This window comes from Homo sapiens, chromosome 13, assembly GCF_000001405.40.
Source record: "Homo sapiens chromosome 13, GRCh38.p14 Primary Assembly".
In the NCBI taxonomy this organism is placed as follows: domain Eukaryota; kingdom Metazoa; phylum Chordata; class Mammalia; order Primates; family Hominidae; genus Homo; species Homo sapiens.
Window position 1 is genome coordinate 41,004,296 of NC_000013.11, and position 24,980 is coordinate 41,029,275.

The 24,980-nt window shown below is 36.8% G+C and overlaps 1 protein-coding gene across 11 annotated transcripts in view, besides 1 other annotated feature; it reads right to left on the bottom strand.

The window, feature by feature from the left end:
* Positions 1 to 24,980, bottom strand: part of ELF1 (E74 like ETS transcription factor 1) — a 129,468-nt gene that overhangs the window by 72,377 nt on the left and 32,111 nt on the right. Inside the window, exons 1-4 of one of the 11 annotated variants that reach the window (XM_047430122.1) lie at positions 14,933 to 15,021; positions 10,055 to 10,130; positions 9,864 to 9,926; positions 8,783 to 8,899 (exon numbers count right to left, since the gene is read on the bottom strand). The exons of 2 other annotated variants lie outside the window; for them this stretch is intronic. The gene's annotated coding sequence lies outside the window, so the exon portion shown is untranslated. Of the gene's footprint in view, positions 1 to 8,782; positions 8,900 to 9,863; positions 10,131 to 14,932; positions 15,138 to 24,980 lie in introns of those variants that run through there. 8 more of the 11 variants (XM_047430119.1, NM_001370332.1, XM_047430124.1 and 5 more) reach the window with 8 other exon arrangements.
* Positions 14,906 to 15,015: an enhancer, noted in NCBI's record as "active region_7623". NCBI's record gives its function as "activates an Ori minimal core promoter by ATAC-STARR-seq in GM12878 lymphoblastoid cells {active_cell/tissue: GM12878}" and the evidence as "EXISTENCE:reporter gene assay evidence [ECO:0000049][PMID:35858748]".

A 24,980-nucleotide genomic window follows, 5' to 3' on the forward strand; every position in this document is an offset into this window, starting at 1 on the left:
TTCTAAAGAAATAGCCCACATCTGTTTTTTTCCAAGGAGAGAGAACATGAAAGGAAAGGGGGTGGGGGATATTCTGGGAAGAATAAGCAAAGGTGACCCTAAAAGTTAAAATCACTGAGAAACAGGTAGAATAGGAATTTAATGAAAACAAACCTTTTCCCTAACATTAGGGATACAGGATCTACCATCAGAACACCTGCATTCAAGTTGTAGTTGAACATCATTTACTAACTGTATTTTCTTAGATAAGTCAACCTCTATAACTTTCCATTTCATCTTTCATCTTGAAGTTGTACCAAGTAAGAATTTACTTGGTAAACTACAAAATGCTTTGAAAGTTTTACAGAATCCTGATATACTAATACATAAAAGTTAATAATTAGATACTAAAATTTCAAGATCAAAATATTAGCCTAATATTTCATAGTGAATTTATATCAAATATATGAATTCAAATGCCAATTTTTTTATGGCCTAAAAAATGTCACAAAAGTAAATACCTTTTAAATATGTAAAAGATATATGTTCCTATTAGGTGCTGTAGCAAACATCTAATTGCCACCACATGATGCATACAATCCATATAATACCAAACAAGCCTACAACGTCCCTCGAATCAACAAGTGACAAAAGTTTAATAAAACTAGCTTTATGCTTAACTGGTCTCCCCAGTGGCAAATTAAAGCAGCAATTGTACATCTGTGTCTCTGTTCCTCTCATCGTGGTTTAACTGACAGGAAGCACAGAGTAAGATATGGCACACAAATGTCAAGTATTTCCTGCCTTCTCTGTTACATCTTTATGTCTTGTTTTATAAATAGTCCAATAGTTTGTGTGAAAATATATGAAAGTACAGTAGCACAAACATATAAATGGTGAAGAGTGTTTATGCAAACAGAGCCAATAAAAAAGTATTTTGGTCTTGGGATCTAAGATTCAATATGCACGCAAAGACTCATTTATAGTCTTTTGAAGAAGTATTCTTAGGAGCAAACACCACACAAATTAAGATTTGAAAACCACAATGACTGAGTAAAAAACCAAGTGTCTAAACAACAGAACAGGCCCTCAAACTATTTTACCCAACTGTTTACATAAGTAACACTTGACCACCTTGATATGTGACCCTCCCCCCAACCTCTGCTATACCTATCCAAAAAAAAAAAAAAAAAAAACCTACCACAAAAAAAAAACAACCTTTAAGCAACTGACTATCAACAAAGCAGGACTGATAACTTGCATCTTTGATCTTTGGTCATTTTTACCATGGCTTCTTATCAGCACTCTCCTGTACTACAATTTATATCCCCCAACCAAACTATCTCTACTCCCTTCTCACTTCCTGTATATCCCAAACTTGGCTCATGTTATTTACTCATATATATTCAACTATATACAACCAAATAGAACTCTGTTCTCCATAGGTGAATCCTGCCTGCTTCAAGTCATGTTAACCAACCTTCCAGTTAATTATAACTAAGGTGTGCTCACCTTTCACCATGCCAAGCTGCCTCCCAAACTAATAATCAATCCTTAAGAATGAATTCAATTCATTACTCATATGATTCATATTCTGTATCATAAACTTGGGCAAAATGCAGCTATCTTATCCATTCATATTGGTCAATATTTACCTAGGCTATAATAAGCATAAGTTGCCACAATTACAATTCCACCAGAGTTTAGTGCTATTCCATTCTAGGTCAATGTCCAAAACCACTCTTCATATTTTACTTCACAGAAGTCCATCTTCAGCTTCCTGTGACCTCTCTTTCCTAAAGAGAACTTAACATATACCTAATAATCAGCTGTAAGCATGGTAGTAGGCTCCTGAAGTAACATTTCTTAAATGAATGGCTTTGAAAAACGATTTCATTTTTACCCAGTATTTTTCAACCAGAAGGATCTTGCTCATTCTTTATAGGAGTCTAAGAATTATTAGTGCCTTCCTAGCATATCTTTAGTATATCTCTGCTCTCACTTGTAAATGTATTGGCTAAATTGTCCCCAATATCTAGGGAATAAGGAGTAAGTGTTCCCCAAACCATGAAGGAAGAATGAAGGAAGAAGAACATCACCCATTTCCTTACACATTAGCTCCCCTCCCCTATCCTCTGGCTCTGATGCTTAGTGAAATAACCCTAACTGGGGGGCAGGATGGGGAGTGAGTTGGGGAGTCTCAGAGCAGCTGCAGAGAACCTAGTGTCCATCACCTACCCAACAATCAAACACAGTTAACGATGTGTAACTGTTCTGTTCTACCAAGGGCAGATAAGTATTACATCTTCCTTTCAGTTTATTCTTAAGACTAACAGGTTGTAAATTATCCTATAACAATATGCAAGTTTTTCTCTGATCTACAGATCAAAGGATCAGGCACGATGTCTAGTTTGCAACGTTCATACCATGAAAACATTTTGAATAAAATAATTTACACAATATACCTTATGTCTAAATACAAACTTTTTAAGTTGCCCTTCAAACTAAAACACATGTAACATTAATTCGAATTAATTATTCAAACTTAAATCTAAAATCTTAATGGTATTTTTCCTTATAATTTAGTACATACGTACATTTTGTATAGTATATTTTAAAACTTTATGTACATAGCATGCTGTATATATTCTTCCAGCATACTTTACCCAAGTTTATCTAAAACATAAAATTTTGAATAAACACAATGGCTATTTGGAAAGGAACTTTAAACATCAAACCCTCCTTAGAACTTGGTGCTTAGGAAAATATTAAACCTTACTCAAGACAAGTCATGATTATTATTAGGCTTCCACTATAACAGAGAAATATCTCGGATGCACAAAGCATCCTATCTTCAATGATGCCGCTCACAAAAAGTGTTCCTCCCTGCTGCAGAGTACAGATAATACACCTCAGAAACGCCCTGTGTGGAGGTCTTAGCAGGAAGCCCAAGGGGCTCAACTCAACAGTATCCTTCTAACCTGCTTATAACTCATTTCTTTAATTCAGTCTGAAGTTAAATAATATGCAGCAACTGAAAGCTCTTTCAATTAAGAAGAACACAACGGGAAAATGTAAATCAGAAAATGCCTAAATATAAATTGAGTCTACTGGAGGAACTTCATTTGAAGGCACATTCCACATATTATTATTAAGTATCAAAAAATGATTGATACCACTGCCAATTCCTTTTGCTGTAAAAATAAGGTTGCTATACAAACATCCCTTAGCCTACTGGAGAAGCCAGTAACTGCCCCCTCCTGCTATTCAACTTCCCTTTTCTTAATCACAAAGGCATCAACTAAATGGAAGCACTGAGACTCAGAACCAACGCCTTCACTTTCTTTGACGAATGTTGATTTCCTCATTAGAGAGGTGCCAAAAACAGAAAAATACTGTGTTATAAGCTTGTATTTAACATAAACTTTAATAAAAGTATATTTCTTCCATATAACATTTATTTAATCAACCCCTAATTTTTAGACATTTGTATTATTTCTAATGCTGCATTATTCACAGCGATTCACAAAATGTAATCCTCAGACCCACAAAGGATCCAGAGACCCTTTCAGGGGGCTCCTGAGATCACAACTCTTTTCATAATAATGGCAAGGTATTATTTGGCTTTTCCACTGTGTTGACACTTGCCCTGATGATGCAAAAGCAAAGCAGGATGAAACTGCGAGTGCCTCTGCCCTGACCAAGGCTGCACCCTCAAGCCATGAGTCTACTCCTTACCACTGGGCACTCACATTTTAAAAAGGCGACTTCACTTAAGAATGTCTTTGAAGAAGAGTAAAAACTATTTTCTTGAATCTCAACCATTAAATACATATGTTTTTAATATTCTGAGTGATAAAATTGGAGGTACAAATAAAGTACTACTTCTGGCATAAACAGAAATAGCATTGTTGTCTTGAGAAAAAGCATTTATGCTATTATTCTTCGACCTGTGAGCCAAACTAGCTGCTGCTTTCATGAAATGTAATTTTTACTTAAAAGAACTAATTATTATTCAGAATTGGATATCTGGCAGAAATTTTTCCAAAAATTAATAAAGCATGCCCATCACTTCAAGGAAAACAACTAACAGCAATTGTCACCAATTATAAAATGCAAGCTTTCAACTGAAAATCAGAATTTTGGAAAACTTGTATGTATCTACCGCTTTGACTCTGTTGGCTTCTCAATACACTTAAAAGGCTTTTCTGATGAGACTGGTGTGATTTTGATACTATGTCAACATTTGCAATACCCAAATGACTCACGCATGATGTTACAAAATCTTGCTTAGGTTAAAAAAAAAAAAATCAATCCATTCAAAGTACAAGACAGACCTATGGATTTTAATGTTACAGGGGACAAAAAGTTCATTCATAGGTTTTCAGAATCTCATTGTTCTAACTTTTAAAAAACTAGCATTTGTTGATGAGCTTTGGTGTAGTATCAAAGAATATCCACAATTATCTGAAGTGGCCATTAAAATACATCTACTTTTTGTGACTAGACATCTGTGTGAGGCTGAATTTTCTTCATATTCTTCAACAAAAGCAACATATTCCAACAGATTTCATGCAAAAGCAAATATGAGAATATAGCTGTCTTCTGTGAAGTCAAAGCTAAAAGATTTACACTCTTCTCAGTACAGCTTTTGTTTTGGGAAACATATTTGTCTTTTTTGCACTTTTTTTTTTAAAAAAAACAGGGTCCTGCTATGTTGCCTGGGTTGGACTTGAACTCCTGGGCTCAAGCAATCCTCCTGCCTCAGGTTCTCAAGTAGCTGGACTATAGGCTTGGGTCACCATACCTGGCTCAAACTTGTCCTTTATAAAAATAATTATGTTAAAATGTAATGGGCGTATTATTTTTAAATAAATATATTAATATTTTTCAAGTTTGTTTTAATTTCTAACATTGGTTAATATTGGTAAATGTAACCCACATGAACCAAAGCTCTTTGGGAGCCTCAATTTTAATAGTATAAAGACGATGCAAAGATCATAAAGCTTGAAAAAAAAAAGTATAAGGTTTGAGAACTGCTACACAATCACAACGAACGATTCAAATATCCTTACAACTGAATCTTTGGTCCCATCCTTAAATTTTCTTTAGGATACCTACACCAAGAACTGAAAGGCACATAGACTTTCAAAGCATTTGATATCATAATGCCAACTGCCCTGCAGAAGATTTTTTCAGTTTATACTGTTAGCAACAGAATACCTGCATGGACATTTAACATCATTTGCAACAACCCACAATGCTTGAACTACTGCCAATATGATGGATAAAAACACAGGGGGGCTATTTGACTTTAATTTGCATTCCTTTGCTAGAAAGTTTAATATATTTTAATTTTAAATGTAATACTTTAATATACTTCCCAATTTTAAAGAATTGGTTATTCTTCGTGGAAAGGGCTAGGAGACACAAGTAAATAAATGGTAAAGGTGACAGTCTATGATTTTTCTCATTGGGAAAAAAAACTTCGAATTAATGTTTTTACTCTAGTTCTGGTTTAGAAAGCTTGCATTTTTTTAAACTTCAATTTAATAATGTAAAACTCTAAGAATGATATTTAAATTACTAGTTGCAATAGTGCAGCAGTTCTCAAACTTTTTGGTGTCAAGATCCCTTTATATTCTTAAAATGTATTGAGGACCACAAAGAGCCTTTGTTTTCCTAGGTCATATTTATCAATATATGTTTTTTACTTACAGGATATTATTACTTATTATATGCCCTTTAAAGGAGTCTTTTCTCAGAATAGCATATTGAAAAAAAAAAAAACTCCCTGGGATTTTTTTTTTCCTTGATTAAAAATAATGCTGTTAAATATACATGCTTTGGGCCAAGCATGGTGGCTCATGCCTGTAATCCCAATATTTTGGGAGGCCAAGATAAGAGGATCGATTGAGCCCAGGAGTTTAAGACCAGCCTGGACAACATAGCCAGACCGCATACCCACCAATAAAAAAATAAAATAAAAAAGAAAGAAAGAAAGGAAAAAAAAAAAAAACACAGAAAAGAAATTTGCACGTCATAGTGGTATGCACTTGTAATTCTACATGGGAGGCTGAGGTGGAGGATTGCTTGAGCCCAGGAGTTTGAGGCTGCAGCAAGCTATGATTGTACCACTGTACTCTAGCCTAGGCGAGAGGGCTACACCCCTATCTCCCCCCCACCCCCCCAAAAAAATACATATAGGTATGAGGTGTATGTGTGTGTGTGTGTGTGCACACTTTCCTTGCCTTAGATCACATGTAGCACATCGAAAACTAATCTAGTTTATCTATGTTTCTCTAATCTTTATATAATTATAATACATTTTAAATGGAGGTTAATTAGTAAAATATATGCATATAATTTATGAATAGTTTTTATTTTTTGTTCATTGCTATATCCCAACATCAAGAATAATATGTAACAGGCAATAATTGCTGAATGAATCAATAATAATATAGATCAAAAGGTATATAATAAAAATTTAAGAGACCTCTAATTACATGACTTTATAGGAACCCTCAGACAATGAAATCTTATGACTTCTATTTCCATTTGTTCTTTGTCCATGCCACTGCTTATACATACACTATGGGAAGTATTTCAGGAAAGAGAGCCAAGGGATGATGAAAGTAAAAACCTGGGTTAAGATCTATGTTTTCACTTTCTATAGCAGTTTCCACATTTACATTGTTAAATTTTGAAAGCTTTACCTGAAGAATGTATATCTAGTTTATAATGACAACAACAAAAATCACTAAAGATTCAGAAATTGCTACCATTACAGTAAGAATTCTAAGGAAGCTACATGAAACACTGATCAGGAAGCAAGATGAAACACTGAATATACCAGTAAATCTGGTTAGATTCAACAATCTATTAGCTACTTAAAAGTTCATGGATGTTAATACTATACTAATTATTTTATGAATGTTTTTGTTTTGAAATGTGTTTTTGAGAAGTATTTGAATGTGGGATAATTCTGAAGATGAAACCTAACTAAATTACTTCTAGGTAACTAAAGCTCCAATTTGTTAATGGATCTCAACTGGAAATTACTATTTATTCATCTAGAAGTATGCCTAGATCTTCTTAGTTATTTGGGACAGACACACAGTCTTATAACACTTACATCTGAATCTACCCAATCCCTCTTGCTGAAATAGGCAGTTAACTTTTTTTTTGAGACAAGGTCTTACTTTGTTGCCCAGGTTGGAGTATAGTGGCACGAACATGCCTCAGTGAAGCCTTGACCTCCTGGGCTCAAGTGATCCTCCCACCTCAGCTCCCCAAGTGGCTGGGACTACAGTCACTCACCATCATGCCTGGCTTATTTTTGTATTTTTAGTAGAGAAGGGGTTTCATCGTATTTTGCAGGCTGGTCTCAAACTCCTGGGCCCAAGTGATCCACCTGCCTTGGCCTCCCAAAGTGCTGGGATTACAGGCTTGAGCCACCGTGCCTGATCCCATTTTTAACTGATGCAGAGTTTTCATTTTTTTGAAATAGGAGGGTCTCACTATGTTGCCCAGGTCTCAAACTCCTGGGGTCATGCATTCCTTCAACCTCAAGTTCCCAAGTGGCTGGGACTACAGGTGCATCTCAGTGCCCCTGGCTCTGATGCAAAGTTTATTGCCACATTCTTTCAAGTCAGCTTTTACTACCGGTCAAATTAAACATTATTCCTCAAGATACTTATAAATGTGGGGCAAAAATAAACTATAGCTTACAGATAAAAATGTATTATGAGGCCAGGTGCAGTAGCTCCCACCTGTAATCCCAGGACTTTGGGAGGCTAAGGTAGGCGGATCACTTCAGGTCAGGAATTCAAGACCAGCCTGGCCAACATGGCAAAACCTCATCTCTACTAAAAAAATACAAAGATAAATTAGCTAGGCGCCATGGTGGGCACCTGTAATCTCAGCTACTTCGGAGGCCGAGGCAGCAGAATCACTTGAACCCAGGAGCCAGAGGTTGCAGAGAGCCGAGATTGTGCCACTCCACTCCAGCCTGAGCGACAGAGCAAGACTCTGTCTCAAAAAAAAAAAAAAAAAAAAAAAAGAGTATTATGAAACAGTTAAACCAAAGAGGATTCATCTATCTACCACCTAGCTTTATATTTTACCATAGTTTGTTTGTTTTTGTTTTTCTGTTTTGTTTTTAAGAAAAAAAGGTCATCTACAGTTAAAGCTTCCTCTAATATCCCTCTCCAGTCTCATTTTATTCCTTCTTTGACTATTCTAAGTTTGATTTTTTTTTCTTTTCTTTTCTTTTTTTTTTTTTTTAAGAGACAGATTCTTGTTTTGTCACTCAGGCTGAAGTGCAGTGGTGCAATCATATTTCACTGTAGCATTAACTCCTGGGCTCAAGCAATCCTCCTGCCTCAGCTTCTCGAGTAGCTGGAGCTACAGGAGTGTGACACCACACCTGGCTAACTTAAAAAAAAATTTTTTTTTTCTACTTGTAGAGACAGGGTCTTGCTATGTTGCCCAGGCTGGTCTCGAATTTCTGGCCTCAAGTGATCCTCCCACTTAGGCTTTCCAAAGTGCTCAAATTATAGGCATAAGCTACAGTGCCCACTTGTCAACTATTCTAAAATTGGTATCTTCTCTGTTATATATTTTTATAACTTTACTACATATATATCAAGATAGTAGGATTGCTTTTATATGCATAATTGGGAACATGTATTTATTAAAATTTATTTTTTATTCAAAATTATGTTTGAAATAACTCTAGTTAACAAATGACAAGCATACTGAATTGTTTCAGGGGTCAAATATATTGTTGTCTACAGCTTACCCTGAAATGCATCAACTGTCCATCTGTTTAGGGTCCTGGAGGATTTTACACCCCAGGGCAATATACCATAGAAAGATTCTGAATGGGTTAGAAGTCATCATCGGCAGATATCTGATCCTAGGAAAGATAATGAAGAACTCTAAATTACATTAAACTATCTATACTCTGCAAAGCCTTCACATCCCTCAATGTGAAGATACTGCTCTACAGAACTTCTACATTTATGTCCCGGGGAACCATGTACAAGTGTTCCCAAGCTCAAAATAATCTAATGCCATCAACAAGAGAGAATAAATACATTCTGGTACAGACAAACAATGGAATACTATATTGCAACGAAAAGTAACATAAGTCACAAAGCTGAATGAAAGAAGCAAAGTCACTACAGAATATATGGTGTGATTCATGTGTATAAAGTTCAAAGAGGTAAAACTATAAAGAAAAGATTATCGCAAAAGTCAGCATAGTAGTTATTTTTTAAAGGAAACAAACATGAATAGGAGTGGGGGCCTTCTAGGGTAATAGACATACTCTATATTTCTTAACATGGGTTGTTTCTCAAGATACTTATAAATATGAGGCAAAACTGTTTAAATAAAATACAAAATATTTACCCATGTTGTAACACTTTATAATTTTATTTAAACTCTATGTTTTATATATATTTTCCTACATGCACATTTCATTTTTAAAGAAAAAATAATGAATTGCCCCATTACAATACTAAACTTCCATTTAGTATTTTGATATAAAAAATAAGATGTACATAAATTGTTACACTTCATTTTAATAGTTTTATTATAAAATTTTATAGTTTTACTATTTATGGGATTGTTTTCTAAACCCAGAAACTAATTTTCTTTAATTATATTTATATTTTTAAAATTGTACCATGTAACAGCCCAGACATAATGATCACTATATGACTGGGCATCTATCACGTAGATACTGCAGCATGTAAAGTCATACTGGTGCCTGCTACTTTGAAGAGCTTCTAATATATAGAGTAGAACACAGGACGAGGACAAATCACATGAAAACACAAACTTAAAAAATAAAAACAACTTCTCTAAGTGGTTACCTTTGGACAGCAGGACTGAGAGTCAGAAGGGGCAGAGGAGGCAGGCTCCTTTTCATTATAGACCTATGAATTAAATTTTGAATGGTGTGCATATATCACTTTGATAGCTTTTAATATAAAAATTGTTAAACCAATCTTCATACAAACTATAGAAGGCAAGAGGGCTCTGACAATGAGGATGATGTTAATACCTGGAAGAGAAGGAATCAAAACATTTCTGCATAGAAATTTGTATATCCAAAGCTCAGCTGCATAATTTCTCCCTCTCTGTCAACAAAGCAAATAGCACACAATGAGTTATTTTCCTCATATAATAACTTAAGGTGCTTAGAACCATGACCAGAAAAGACATTTGTAGTACTGCTCAACAGCCACTTTTATTATAGTATACAGCTCATTTGACAAGACACAAAAAACTCTTTTGTAGGTTCTCCATACTAATGGAAGGAAGATTGTTCAGATAGTTGGAAACTGTCCTAATCATTGGAGTTGACTCAATAATGGTACTAACTTAATTTCAACCATTTATATGAAGCAGCTCCTAAGTAAAGGAGCAAAATAGTCTGGCTAATTTATGGAAGCAATGATTATCTTCAAACAATTCAAATGAGGGGAATTTTCTTCTCATTTATCCAAGTCAGTGAATACCTAACAATGTCCCATTAGATGAGATGTAATGTTAGGCAAAACCTACAAATATGCAATCAAAGATGCAGTTAAATATCTGAAGAAGCTTCAAAAATCATATCCAAGCATTACAGGGTTAAAAAAAAAGTTACTTCCTCCCAGACTCAAACAAGTACATACTATTGTGCTAGTCTTTAAGTCACCCCTGCCCTCCCCCCAAAAAAAGAAAGAAAACAAAAATATTACAAATAATAATAGTGTATTTCTCAAGAGAGAAGAGCTTTCAAAAGGCTGTAAATGCCACCCTAAATCAGTAAGGGGGTGTTTTTCCTAAAGCCCCAGGAGTAAGAGTATGGAGAGGGAAACCAAGAAGCAACAATTGGAACCAAAACAACTAACACTGGAAGAGTTCACTGAGAAATAAAAAATAGGTTAATTACATTAAAAAACAAAGATTATTTATTATGGCCAATATGGCAGTAGGTTTCGGGGGTGGATCAGAGAAAAGGAAAGACGGATAGCCACATAGTTGAACAACATATAGCACAGCAAAAAAAAACAGACTAGAGAAAGGGATAACTGGGATGGGAAAGGAGCCCAAATGGGTTCTAATACTGATAATAAAGTACTCTAGTTGCTTTCCTTCCTTACTAGAGGCTATGGGCTTCAAAATAGCATTGCTGCCTAAAACTTCAAATATTTAAAGGCAAAATAGCTAATTCCTCTTCATAGCCTTAAACCTGTAAACTCTCTTTCTGAAAATGTGGCATATAAGCACCTATGTCATAATCATTTAGGGTACACAGTAAAAAATGCTGATTGTTTAAGCAAATCCTACGCCTAATGAATCAGAATTTCTGAGTTAAAACTGGGTGATTCTTTGTTACACCAAAGGTTGACAATTACAGCTTTAAAGGTAATACTATCATAGTATTACCTACAACATGCAGACACCAGTCAGAGATTAAGCTGAGGGCCACATGCTTTTTAAAGATGTGCCATCTTTAACTTCAGCAAGATGGCCAACTGAATTTGTCACGTAAGATGGCAAAAAAGAGTAGCCAAAGGTTTAATACAACAAATAATACCTGTCTACTCATATGTGCTTGGTACTTTGTCAAAGGTTGAAAAAGACAGAAAAACAGAATAAAACCTTTCTCCTCTCAAACAGCGTATATTCTTATTCTTATTGACGAAGACACTCTTCTTAACATAGGTAAATGCTATTCAACGTTCAGCATTCATCATTCCTTCAAGATAAACTCTCCTGAGTATTCTTTCAGTCATCTTTTATCTCTAGGCAATCTGAATCTGAATTTACCTAGTCAGTGGTTGGTTCTGTTCTTTACTTCACTTGTTAACAAGCCCTGTTTTCCCAACAGGAATTTAAGTTTATGAAGATAAAGCCCATGTTCCTAGCCTTTTGTGCTTTTTGTTTTTTAGGACAATGATGGCCACACTGTGGACGATTTCGCACCGAATTGAGTTAGGGCACTCAGAAATTTAGGAGATTCAGCAGTTATGCATAAACCATTAAAAATCTGAATTTCAGACCTAGAGAATTTCCAACCACCCCAATAAAACACACCAAAAAGTTAACAGACAAAAGATTTTGTATATACCAAACAATTCTCTTATTTCAAAGGAGGAGGAGAAGATGTGACAAAGATAAATAAAATGAGATTACTATCTTATAATAAGGTCAAATTTAAGATAAGTGTAATGTTAAAGCTTAGACACCTCTGGATTTTGTAAAGTCACATGCAAAGTTTTACACATACACATATTTTAGTATAACAAGGTATCACATTAAACAATATTTGCCCTCCTAAAAGAATATGAGGCAAGGATGGGCACGGTGGCTTGTGCCTGTAATCACAGGACTTTGGGAGGCCGAGGTGAGCGGATCACCCAAGGTCGGGAGTTCAGGACCAGCCTAACCAACATGGAGAAACCCTGTCTCTACTAAAAATACAAAATTAGCTGGGCGTGGTGGCGCATGCCTGTAATCCCAGCTACTTGGGAGGCTGAGGCAGGAGAATTGCTTGAACCCGGGAGACGGAAGTTGCAGTGAGCCGAGATTGCACCATTGCACTCCAGCATGGGCAACAAGAGTGAAACTCCGTCTCAAAAAAAAAAAAAAAAAAAAAAAAAAAAAAAAAATATATATATATATATATATATATATATATATATGAGCTAAAACTAAAGCAGAAATAAAACTGTCTTTGTATCTAGAAGCTCAAATTTAATTCCCACCTCTTCATATTTCCATCTAAAGCCATCTTAAAATAAGCAGTCATGAACAAAAAAATTCTAACAGTGAAAAACAAAAAGTTGTTGTAGAAATAAAATGAATGCATCATCTTTCTGATGAAAAAGAAAACTACATTTTCAAAATCATTGGTTGATCCATTTGGTTGCAACTTATCACCAAGATTATCACCAAACATCTTAATTAAGGTTTTATTTACTCTTAAGGAAATATAGAGCATTTCAAACAAAGCATCACTTGTGACTGGCACAAGCAGTTCCAGACTGCGAAGCCCTGCCATTAGGTACTGCATGACCTCAAGCAAATCACAGGACCTCTGTGGGCCACTGTTTCTTCATCTATAAAAGTGAGGCAGTTGGACAATCTTCAGTCACTTTCAGCACTAAAGTTCTATAAATCACTAATTCTAAATTTAATTCTGATGGGTCAGTTCAAACTTACATTCAATCTTATGGAAGGAAAAACGTGGAGAGGGAAATACTTAATAAATTGTTCTGGTCTTTTCTTGGTTCTCTTCTTTTTACCCCCCCTTCTCCCTTCTCCTTGAAACTCCACTTCAGTCTCTATCACGTAAGAAAATACATAAACAATATCTATACTACTTTAACTGTACCAGCTTCTTAAATTTAAGAAACCAAATTCCTCTACTTCTCTTTAATAAATAAGATCTTAATTATGCCGCTTATTTGTGTGCCTCTTGATTTTTCTCTTATGGATCACCACCTTAAAAAAGTTAAAAAAAAAAATAGAAAAGTCTTCATTAGATTTTTCACACAGACCAGACTAGAAGTAAATACAGCTTTTGCTTACTCAAAGGCTGACTAAACCAGCAATATGCAAACAAAGATGATAGCAAATGGCTCAGCTGAATTGGTAAAATGTCCGCTGTGTCTTTCTTGTAAGACCGCAAAATTGAGATCTGTTAATATCAACAATCCTTACAAAAGAGTAAGAAATAATAACTGATTGCCTTTGTCTCTTCCCTTTAATCTGACAGGCCTTCAAGCACTTAGTAAGTGCATAGCAAATTCTCAAAGAACTAGCTAAATATCATTTTGGTCAACAAGAAATGATTTGGCAAGTTTTATATCCAAAAACTTTATTTTTTGGAATCACTGCATATTCCAATTTTATCTTCATAAATATGTTTCAGAAATAAAATACTACTGCACTCATCTTTACAGAGCACCTAGAACTTTAAGGCACAGTAGGATGTATACTTGCCAGCCAAAATCTCATAACTACAATGACAAGTACTTCAGGAAAAGACTGAGCAATCTTTTCATTTACAGAAGGTTTTTAATTCAAGGCAGGCAAATTTTAAGAACAGTAATACAAAAGGAAGGCCAATACTCATCACTTTTTCTTTTTACACAAAATTGAAATAACTACGTTTCCTTAGAAGACAGCTTTACTTCTAAGGTTGTTACTCAGAACAAGTTTTCAGTGTGAATTATAAAACTTCATTTTTTTCTAATAGTAAATGAATCATTCTAGTCTTTCTTCCTCTATTTAATATTCACTTTTACTTGTTATCTAAATAATCTAATATTCATTTTTACTTATTATCTAAATAACAATTCATTTAAATTTCCATTGGGTTTCCAAAATGAAACATTTAATATAATTTCATTAACTTTAAAAAACAGAGAGGGAGAAAAAAATAAATAAATAACAGTCAATGAGCAACACCTATGGCTGAGTTGTCCCAAAACTTCACCCTTAGCTAAAATGCCAAAACAAAGCCACTGCCCCTGGATATTTAACATCTATATCACACAGGAATAATACGGTTTACTTAACTGTAACTTCAACTACCCCAAAAAATACAATTAGGTTTTTTAAATTAAAATTTGACCTTAGTTTGCTTTGTGGTACTTAAAAACAAATAAACAAACAAAAAACCTCTTTTATTCTTAAATTACATAGAAAAAAAATCACAAAGACATACAAAATGCTTTAGCAAGAAGATCTAAAACTTTCCAGAATTTCAGTGCTTTGTTTCCCCCTAGCAATTAAGTTCAATCAGGCATGTGACTGACCACACACATTTTATCAGAGGGTTAAAGAACACATTCAGCCATGTTCTTCAACAGGTAAGAACCACCCTCTGTTTATCAGCTCAAGAAAAAGCCAGAAGCAAACATACAAAATTGTAACAAGTTACCTTCAAGTATTCTTTCTCTATCGTCTTTTGAGCTTGAAAATAAAAAGCAATCCGACAAGTTTTAGCTGTTAAAATGGCTCCTGTAGATTGGGGAAGTGGTGTCTGTGCTTCAGCTTATGAGTCATACATGAAACCAAGTGTTTCTAAGGGAGGCACGCCCATGTTGCTGTGGACCCAATTATTCTGCTAGGTCAAACATGCAAATCTGCAGGTAAAAACGGTATAGGAAAGTGGGGATGAAGAGGCAAGGAGCAAGATCTACCTTGATTAGACCATTACTAAGCTCATATTAATTGCCATAATTTAAAACTAACAATAAAATAGAGTAAGAACCTACAAGGGAGCAAAATTAAAAACTATATATTGTTTTAAAATATAAAAATCTCAATTTTTAAAAGTTGCTTTACTATATCAAATAAAACTGTGAAAGGAAAAAAGTATGAAAGGGGATGGAAGGGAGATAGCAAACTCTGTGGCTCTTAATGTAACAATGGACTGGTGAGTGTAATCTGGCTACTCATTAACCCTCATATGAAAGAGATATATTGCTATGTAGTCTGGAAAGGCTAGCAAACTACAAAGCCAGATGCAGATCTGTAAGTTCACTAAACAGATAAAATCCACTAGAAAATTCAAAGTTCAGTGGAAAAATAAGTGTGAATTAAACTGGTTTACAGAATTTTTAAAAACCCACACTCCAATGTTAGGAATTTAAAGTCCAACAAAGCAAAATGATTTTAAATAAACTGCAAGCTTGATAAAACCCTTTTAAAAAAGTATTGGTACGATCATAGTTCATAACTCTACTACTTCCAAATGATAGCTACAGTTTGACTTACCTTTCAAGCAAAATTTTCTACATGTATTTCAAGCCTCTTGTGCCAGGCACCCTGCTACAGCTCCACTGCAATTGTGGCAAGGCCAACCTAAGGGGACAACTGTGGCCAGTGAAGCTCTGCCTTCCAAGTCAGAATACATCTGACAAAGTGCCCAAGCCACTGAAATATTACTACACCTACTTATTCTGGCCTCTGGGTGAATACTTATTAATTTATTCTAAGAGCTTAAATTAATCAAAATGGCTTGAAAGCACTAAGTACTTCCAAAGCGCTTGAAATGATAAATGCAACTCAATAGATAGCCTTCGTCCTGGTATCTTACAAAAAGTAAATAGGATTTAGCAAGGTTTTCTCCCTTTAGTTAATTAGTTGGGAGTTTATTCTGGCTTACCAGAGGCATAGTTGAGAGCACAAGCTGTCACTGACTTAGGAACTTTACAAAATGCTGCAAAACAGCAATGATTGTGAACCAACTTTCTGCCTGCTGTCTATTTATTCCTTACACTGAAGATTGCTTGGTTTATCCTTTTACTGAAAAATAATCTCCATGGTTTTACAAACTGTTAATTAAAAATTTATTAAAAAGAAATATAGACCATGTTTTCTCCTGTCAAATGTCATATTTAGCTTACTTTAGTTCACTTACACAAAATGACTATTCAGAGCCCATGCACCAAGAAACAAGGTCCGCTGAGCAGTCACGGGAGATTCACTTGTTCCCTGGAAAGTTCCCCCCAGGTAATTTTCCATATCTGAAATTTATTTTAGATAACATGAATGTAAACCTAACAATTTGATTATCTTCTTTTGGCTAATTAGAAATAAAAACTGTAACAGGTAAAAGAGGGCAACAGTATTATAAAAGGATGTCAGAAAAAGTGAAATAGCTGATAATGACATTAAAAAAACCCACCTTACAAAACTAAAAATAAACATAACTTTAAAAGTATTCAGATATGAAGCCATTATATAAGGTCAGTAAGTTGTAATATTCCCTAAGTATATTACCATACACTAAGTGTCTCCAAGTCAGCATTAGTTTAAGACAGGCCTTCGAAAGCCAAAGTGTGTAACATCAAGTGTGTGAGATGTTTTATGTAGAACAGGTATCTAAAAGGATAAGCTTCTGCTATTGAGAAAATCCATTTATATAATGCACCTCATTACTTAATAATGGCAAATATTCCAAACATAATTTAAAGGAAGTACTCTGGCCACCAGTAATGTGAAGAGAATTAAAGGGAAAATAATTACACCTCTTCAACAGAAACAAATATCTTAGCTGTTCCTAAGGAGATGACTCCAGAGCTGCCATTACAATATATTATCCCTCTGCCCAGGGGTATCCCTATTAGCATTATTCTATCACCTACAGGAACTGGATCCTTGTTCTATTTACAGCCCCAATAAGTCAATCTCTGCATATGAGAGGATCAAAGAGAAAAAAAAAGGCAAACAGTTTGACACAGGTTCTAGTCAATCTACTTGGGTTTCAATCCCAGCTCTGCTACCTATTAGCTATGTAATCTTGGGCAATTACTTAACAATCCTGCATCATAACTTATTTATCTATCATTTAGCCTAATAGTATCTACCACACAGATTATGAGGATTAAAATAAGTCCACACACTGCTATCCAGACTACATAAAGCACTTTCACAACTCAAAAATAGGAAAACAATCCAGTTTTTTAAATGGTCAAATCTGAATAGACACTTCACTAAAGAAGTCATACAGATGGCAAAAAAAGTACATGAAAATATCTCAACATCAATACTCAATAGGGAAATGCAAATTAATGTGACACCACCACAACAAAACAAAACAAAAACCACCAATAATACCAAGTGTTGATGAGAACATGGAGCGACTACAACTCTCATATATTGCTGGTGGGAATGCAAAAGTTTAGCCACTTCGGAAGATAGTTTAGCAGTTTCTATAAACATACACTTATCACATGATCCAGTAATCCCATTCCTAGGCATTTACCCAAGAGAAATGAAGATATGTGTCTATTTTAAAACTTCTATGCAAATATATATAGCAGTTTTATCATTCACCAAATATTGAAAACCCAAATAATGTCCATCAATGTGTGAATGGATAAATCCATGTAATGGAATGGTATAGTATATCCATATAATGGAATGCTACTCAGCAACAAAAAAGGTCTGAATTTCTGATATATGTGACAACATGGATGAACCTAAAAGCATTAGGCTGAACAAAATAAGACTGACTCCATGACTCTGTATGATTCCATTTATATGTGACATAATGGAAAAGGCAAAACAGAAGGCACAGAAATCCTATCAGTTCTAGGGGCTGGAAATGAGGGGAGGGGGTTGACTACAAAGGAAGACAAGGAACTGTTGAGGGTGACAGAAATATTCTGTATCTTGACTGTGGTACCGGTATATGACTTATGTACATTGTCAAAATTCATAGAGCTATAAAACTAAATAGGGCAAATTGTACTGCATATAAACCATACCTCAATAAAACTGATTTTAACAAAAAGAAATCTAGGCCAGGCACGTTGGCTCACGCTTGTAATCCCAGCACTTTGGGAGGCCAAGGCAGGTGGATCACTGAAGTTCAGGAGTTCGAGACCAGGCTGGCCAACATGGTGAAACCGTCTCTACTAAAAATACGGATATTAGCCAGGTGTGGTGGCAGACACCTGTAATCTCAGCTACTCAGGAGGCTGAGGCAGGAGAATCGCTTGAACCTGGGAGGTGGAGGTTGCAGTGAGCCGAGGTTGCACCACTGCACTCCAGCCTGGGTGACCAAGCAAGACTCTGTGTCAGACCTCCACATTTTGTAACAAATATCCAAGTTCTGCACATGTACCCCAGAACAGAAAGAAAGAAAGGAAGGGAGGAAGGGAGGAAGGAAGAAATAAATCTAGTTTAGGTATATGAAATGTACATACTGTGGGTATGTTTATTTATAAAATTAGATATGGATCAAGTCAGTATATACCTTATATAAAGCTTTCATGGCTGCTCATGGAATTGTCAACATGTATATTTGAACTATTAGCTGAGAGAGATTGAGTCAACTGAATGAATTTAAATGCCAACTAAATTTCAGATACTATTTATTTCCTCCACCAAAACAGAATTTATAAAAAGAATTTATTGTGCTAGGGCTCATTTTTCCTTTTTACTGTTACCTCTTCCCTTTGAACTCAAATCTCAAAACTTCTAGTACAAAAATACAGAATACTCTAATTTCCATATCTAGGAAACTTAGGCTAAAAAAAGCTTTGTTTGAATCCGCCCCATAGGTCGGGAGCTAACATGCTATGACTATCAGAGATGGAAAAAGAAAAGATCACACCATTAAAATGGCAAATGACCAAAATCAATGTTCCCCACTATTTAAATAGAAAAATAAAATTCAGAAGACTGAGATTGAGTGTTATGAATCTTTCAATCATGCAGAATTTATTTTGTTGATGTTAATGCCTCTCAAAAATATAATCCCAGGTTCCAAGAATTGTGTAGAATTTCTACATGTGAGCTTAAACGTAAAACACAGTTAATTTTCTATGCTCTATCACTAGCTTTGTTAAACCAAATCCTCTTTCCCACTTCTGCACGGACAGGTAACTAGGTGGTACTTTTTACCACCCACAAAAAGCAGGCCTCTTAGGCAACAGTCTATGTATTTTCAGGGGCTTATCAAAGGCAAAAGGGGCCATGGCTTTTGTCTGCACTATATTCCCATCACCTAGGACAAGGCCCAAAACTCAGCAGAAATTCAGAGACATGAATGAGTGACTTTCCTAAAACTGCTCACTGAGGGGAAAAATGTAGCATATCAGGATTTTCGTAAACATTGAAATATCTTTAAAGACATGACTTGGCCCCTATGACTTGATATAGACAAATTCAAGGTTCTATTGCAGGTATTATTCTGGGTATTACTGTTTCCTCTGATATTAAAAATAACCAAGAATTGATGGTATGATTATATTCTTTATAAAGCTCCCAGGTAATATGCTGACTGCAATCTCAAGTTGTTTGTATAGACATATTTTATCTCTCATAATTAAATTTTAAATTCAATATTAAAAATAATGTATCTTTTACTTCAGTAGCCTGTAACCAGGAATGTACCCCTGAAGGAGCTTTATGAAGACACATGCCAACTCCTGGAAATGGATTCAGTAGTGCAGGTGGAGGTCAGGCTTATGAGAACCACTGCTGTTTTTGTTTGTTTGTTTGTTTGTTTTGGGGGGGGTGGCTGTTTTTGTTTTTTGAGACAGAGTTTTGCTCTGTCACCCAGGCTGGAGTGCAGTGGCAGGACCTTGGCACCTCAGCGTAAAGCAATTTCTGCCTCCCAGGCGATCCTCCCACCTCAGCCTCCTGAGTAGCTGGGACTACAGGCATGCACCACAATGTGGTTATTTTTTGTATTTTTTTGTATTTCTGGCTAATTTTGTATTTTGTATGTCTGGCTAATTTTTGTATTTTTTTGTAGAGGCAGGGTTTTGCCATGTTGCCAAGGCTGGTCTCAAACTCCTGAGCTCAAGCGATCCGCCTGCCTCGGCCTCCCAATGTGCTTGGATTACAGGCATGAACAACCACACATGGCCACCATTGCTGTGTTTCTATGTAGCCCTAGCATCTACTGTAGTTACTGCTCTTCACACAGCAGCCACTCAAAGACATTTGTTAACCTACTATTCAATAATCTCTAAATGTTGCAGAGAGGAAATCTAATTTTTATACTGAGTTTAAAGTGAAACTTAAGCTCCTCCTTTGCTACTCTTCAGGTAAAAAAGTACTCATCATATCACAGGAAAAGTAACATCACAGTCTCCTCCTAACTGACAGAATCTTTCTCTACCACCAACTGCCTACTTTAAATTCACCCATCACTCTGCTATTAGAGAAGTCTTCCTAAAGAACAACTCTGAGAGTGAAATGATTATCACTTATGGCCCAAAAAACAAAAAGAAATAAAATAACTGATTTCTTAGAGGCAAAATTAAAAGCCAGACTATTATGGCGTTCAAGGCTTTCACAATCTGACTTTAATTTCCCTAACTTTTCCAGCCCTATCTTCCTGACTCTCCCTCACTCCCTAGCCCCTGACAGCTGTACGGAAATTTCCTGAATTGCTCCATTCCTATTTGTCTCACTTCCTTATCACTGTTCCCTGGGCCTGAAAAGCACTTACCTTATTTCCTATCCTATGCCCGACCTCTGCCTATGAACATCCATCCATCAAGTCTCAATTTCAATGCCTCCTCTACAGAAGGATCTCCTCAACAGCCCCACTTACAATTACTGTGAGAACTGGTTATCGCAGAACTGAAAGAGACCTTAGAGACACTTTATCCAGTCCAGTGGTTTCTAAACTTTTTACTTAAGCAGCTGAATTTTTATAAAGGCTTCAAGGAACCTTGACACTCCATACATTTAAGTCTTCACTGTAGGACAGCTTAAAACACGAATCCAATCCAGTCTCATTTTAAAAATAGAGATAAGAGGTCTGTACAAAGTGACTTCCCAATGTCAAGTTAGTGACTGATTTGAGGGACTCTTTGTCATTCATTTAACAAATATTTACTCAGCACTTACTATGTGCCAGGTACTGTTCTAGCCCCTTGCTAGACAGCAAACAAAAGAGACATACTGCTGATAAATAAACCCTATTCGGCCTGTGCAGAAGACAGATGAATCTAGGAGAATCACGGTGGATTATCATAAGCTTAACCAAGTGGTGACTCCGATTGCAGCTGCTGTACCAGATGTGAGCTCATTCTTTACCCTCAACAGATCTCCTGGTATCTGTTACATACAGCTATCAATCTGGCAAATGCCTTTTTCCCCCATACCTGTCCATGAGGCCCACCAGAAGCAGTTTCCTTTCAAATGGCAAGGCCAAAAATACCTTCACTGTCCTAACTCAGGGATATATCAACCCCCTAGACCTATGTTCACAGGGATCTTGATCACCTTTCCCCTCAAGGTAACATATTAGTCCATTATATCAATGACATTATGCTTATTGGACCTAATGAGCAACGAGTAGCAACTACTCTAGGCTTAATGATAACACATAGCATGTCAGAGGTTGGGAAATAAATCTGACTAAAATTCAAGGGCCTTCTACTTCAGTGTAATGTCTAGGGGTCTACTGGTGTGAGGCATGTCATGGTATCTCTTCTAGGGTAAAGGATAAATTGTTGCATCTGGCTCCTCCTACTACCAAGAAAAAGGCACAACACTTAACTCCTTTATTTAGATTTTGGAGGCAACACATTCCTCATTTGAGTGTTACTCCGGCCCAATTACCAAGTGACCAGAAAAGCTGCTAGTTTTGAGGGGGGCCCAGAATAGAAGGCTCTGTAACAAATCTGTAACAAATCTGCTCTGCAAGCTGCTCTGCCACTTGGGCCATATGACCCAGCAGATCCAATGGTACTTGAGGTATCAGCAGTTGGCAGGCCTCTCTCTATAGGTAAATCACAGCACAGGCCTGTAGGATTTTGGAGCAAGACCTTGCCATCAACTGCAGATAATACTTCCCTTTTGAGAGACAGCTCTTGACCTGCTACTGGACCTTAGTAGAAACTGAACATTCACCACGGGCCACCAAGTTATCATGCAATCTACTTGGAAGTGGGTGTTACCTGACCCACTCCAAGCCACAAAGCTGGGCGTGCATAGCACCATTAAAATCATCAAGTGGAGGTAACATATATGTGATTGGGCCTGCGTAGGTCCTAAAGGCACAAGTTACATGAAATGGCCCAAATGCCCATGGTTCCTGGTGCTACACTGTCTTTTCTCACCCAGATTGTACCTCTGGCCTCATGAGGAATATTCTACAATCAGCTGACAGAGCCTTGTTTACAGATGGTTCTGCACGACATGCGAGCACCACCCAAAAGCGGACAGCTGCAGTGCTACAGCCCTTTTTCTGGAACATCCAGTCATGAAATCTTCCCAGTCACGAAATCTTCCCAGTAGGCAGAACTTAGGGCAGCACACCCAGTTACGCACTTTGCTGTGAAGGAGAAATGGCCAGATGTGTGATTATACGTCAATGCATAGGCAATAGATAATGGTTTCACAGGATGCTCAGGGACTTCGAAGGAACATAACCAGAAAATTGGTGACAAAGAAATTTGGGGCAGAACAGATCTCTCCTAACTGGGCAAAGGATGTGAAGATATTTGTCTTATGTGAATGCTCACCAAAGGGTGACCTCAGCAGAGGAGGGCTTTAATAATCAAGTGGATAGCATGACCTGTTTTATGGATACCAGTCAGCCATTTTCCCCAGCCACCTGTCATTGCCCAGGGGGCTCATCCTGGACATGGTGGCAGGGATGGAGGTTATTCACGGGCTTAGCAACATGGATTTCCACTCACTACAGCTCACCTGGGTATGGCCACTGCTGAGTGCCCAATCTGCTAGCAGCAGAGACCAGCAATGAGCCCCCAGTATGGCACCATTCCCTGGGGTGATCCGCCAGCTACCTGGTGGCTGCTTCCATCACAGAAGGGGCAGCAGTTTGTTCTTACTGCAATAGACACTCTAGATACAAATTTGCCTTTCCTGCACACAATGCTTCTCCCAAAACTACCATCCATGAACTCACAGAATGCCTTATCTACCATCATGGCATTCTACACAGCATTGCTTCTGACCATGGAACTTATCTCAGTCACAAAAGTGGGGTAATGGGCTCAAGCTCATGGAATTCATTGGTCTTACCATGTTCCCTGCCATCCTGAAGCAGCTAGCTTGACAGGATGGTGAAATGGCCCTTAGAAGATTCAGTTACAGTGCCAGCTAGGTGATAATACCTTGCAGGTCTAGCACTAGGTTCTCCAGAAGGCTGTACACATTCTGAGTTAGCATCCACTACATGGTACTGTTTTTCCCACAGCCAGGAGTCAATATTCCTTGTTTCCTGAACTAAGGAATACAAATAGGAATGGCACTACTCACCATTACCCACAAGCAAAATTTTTACTTCCTGTTCCCGTAACTTTATGCTCTTTTGGCCTAGAAGTCTTAGTTCCAGAGAGAGAGGAATACTTCCACCAGGAAACACAATAATGATTCCATGGAACTGGAGTCAAAACTACCATCCAGCCACTTTGGGCTCCTCATGCCTCTGAGTCAACATAGCTGGGGGTGATTAATCTAAACTAGGAATGGGAAGCTGGACTACTAACTCACAGTGCAGATAAAGAAGAGTATGTCTGGAATACAGGAGATCCCTTGGGGCATCTCTTTGTATTATCATGCCCTTTAAATAAGTCAACGGGAAACTACAACAACCCAATCCAGGAAGGTCTACTAATAGCCCAGACCCTTTAAGAATGAAGCTTTGGGTCACCCCACCAAATAAAGAACCACGACCAGCTAAGGCGTTTGCTGAAGGCAAACAGAATACAGAATATGTAGTACAAGAAGGCAGTAATCAATGCCAGCTATAACCACCTGACCAGTTAGGGAAATGAGGATTTTAACTGTCATGACTATATTCTCCCTATTTTGTTCAGAATACATTTGTGTGTATATATACATAGATATAACAAAGCAAATATCTTTGTGTTCTTTCCTCTTATTCCTTTACTATGTAATATAAGATGTATTTACTTTATATCAGTATTTAAGTATTGCTAATTTATTTTTTATCTTTTTGAGACAGAGTCTCACTCTGTTGCCCAGGCTGGAGTGAAGTGGCGCAATCTTGGTTCACTGCAACCTCTGCCTCCCAGGTTCAAGCGATTCTTAAGCCTCAGCCTCCCGAGTAGCTGGGACTACAAGTGCACACCACCATGCCCGGCTAATTTTTCCATTTTTATTATTGTATTTTTAGAGACGGGGTTTCACCATATTGGCCAGGCTGGTCTCAAACTCCTGACCTCGTAATCTGCCTGCCTCGGCCTCCCAAAGTGCTGGGATTACAGGTGTGAGCCACCATGCCCGGCCAAGTATTGTTAATTTTACATCATATAATTAAATTGTGGGACATAAGAGAACAACATTCAAGAGCTTTACCTCCTCTTCTGAGGATAAATCAGTGCATTTTCAATTGTATGCAGGGTAGTTGTATCATTTTAGGCAGAGCTACAATTTCGTAATTGTCTCTATTCGGAGATTAAATATGGTTTAAGTAGGTGCACATGGGTGCCACATGGGTGCCAAGTTGACAAGGGGTGGAA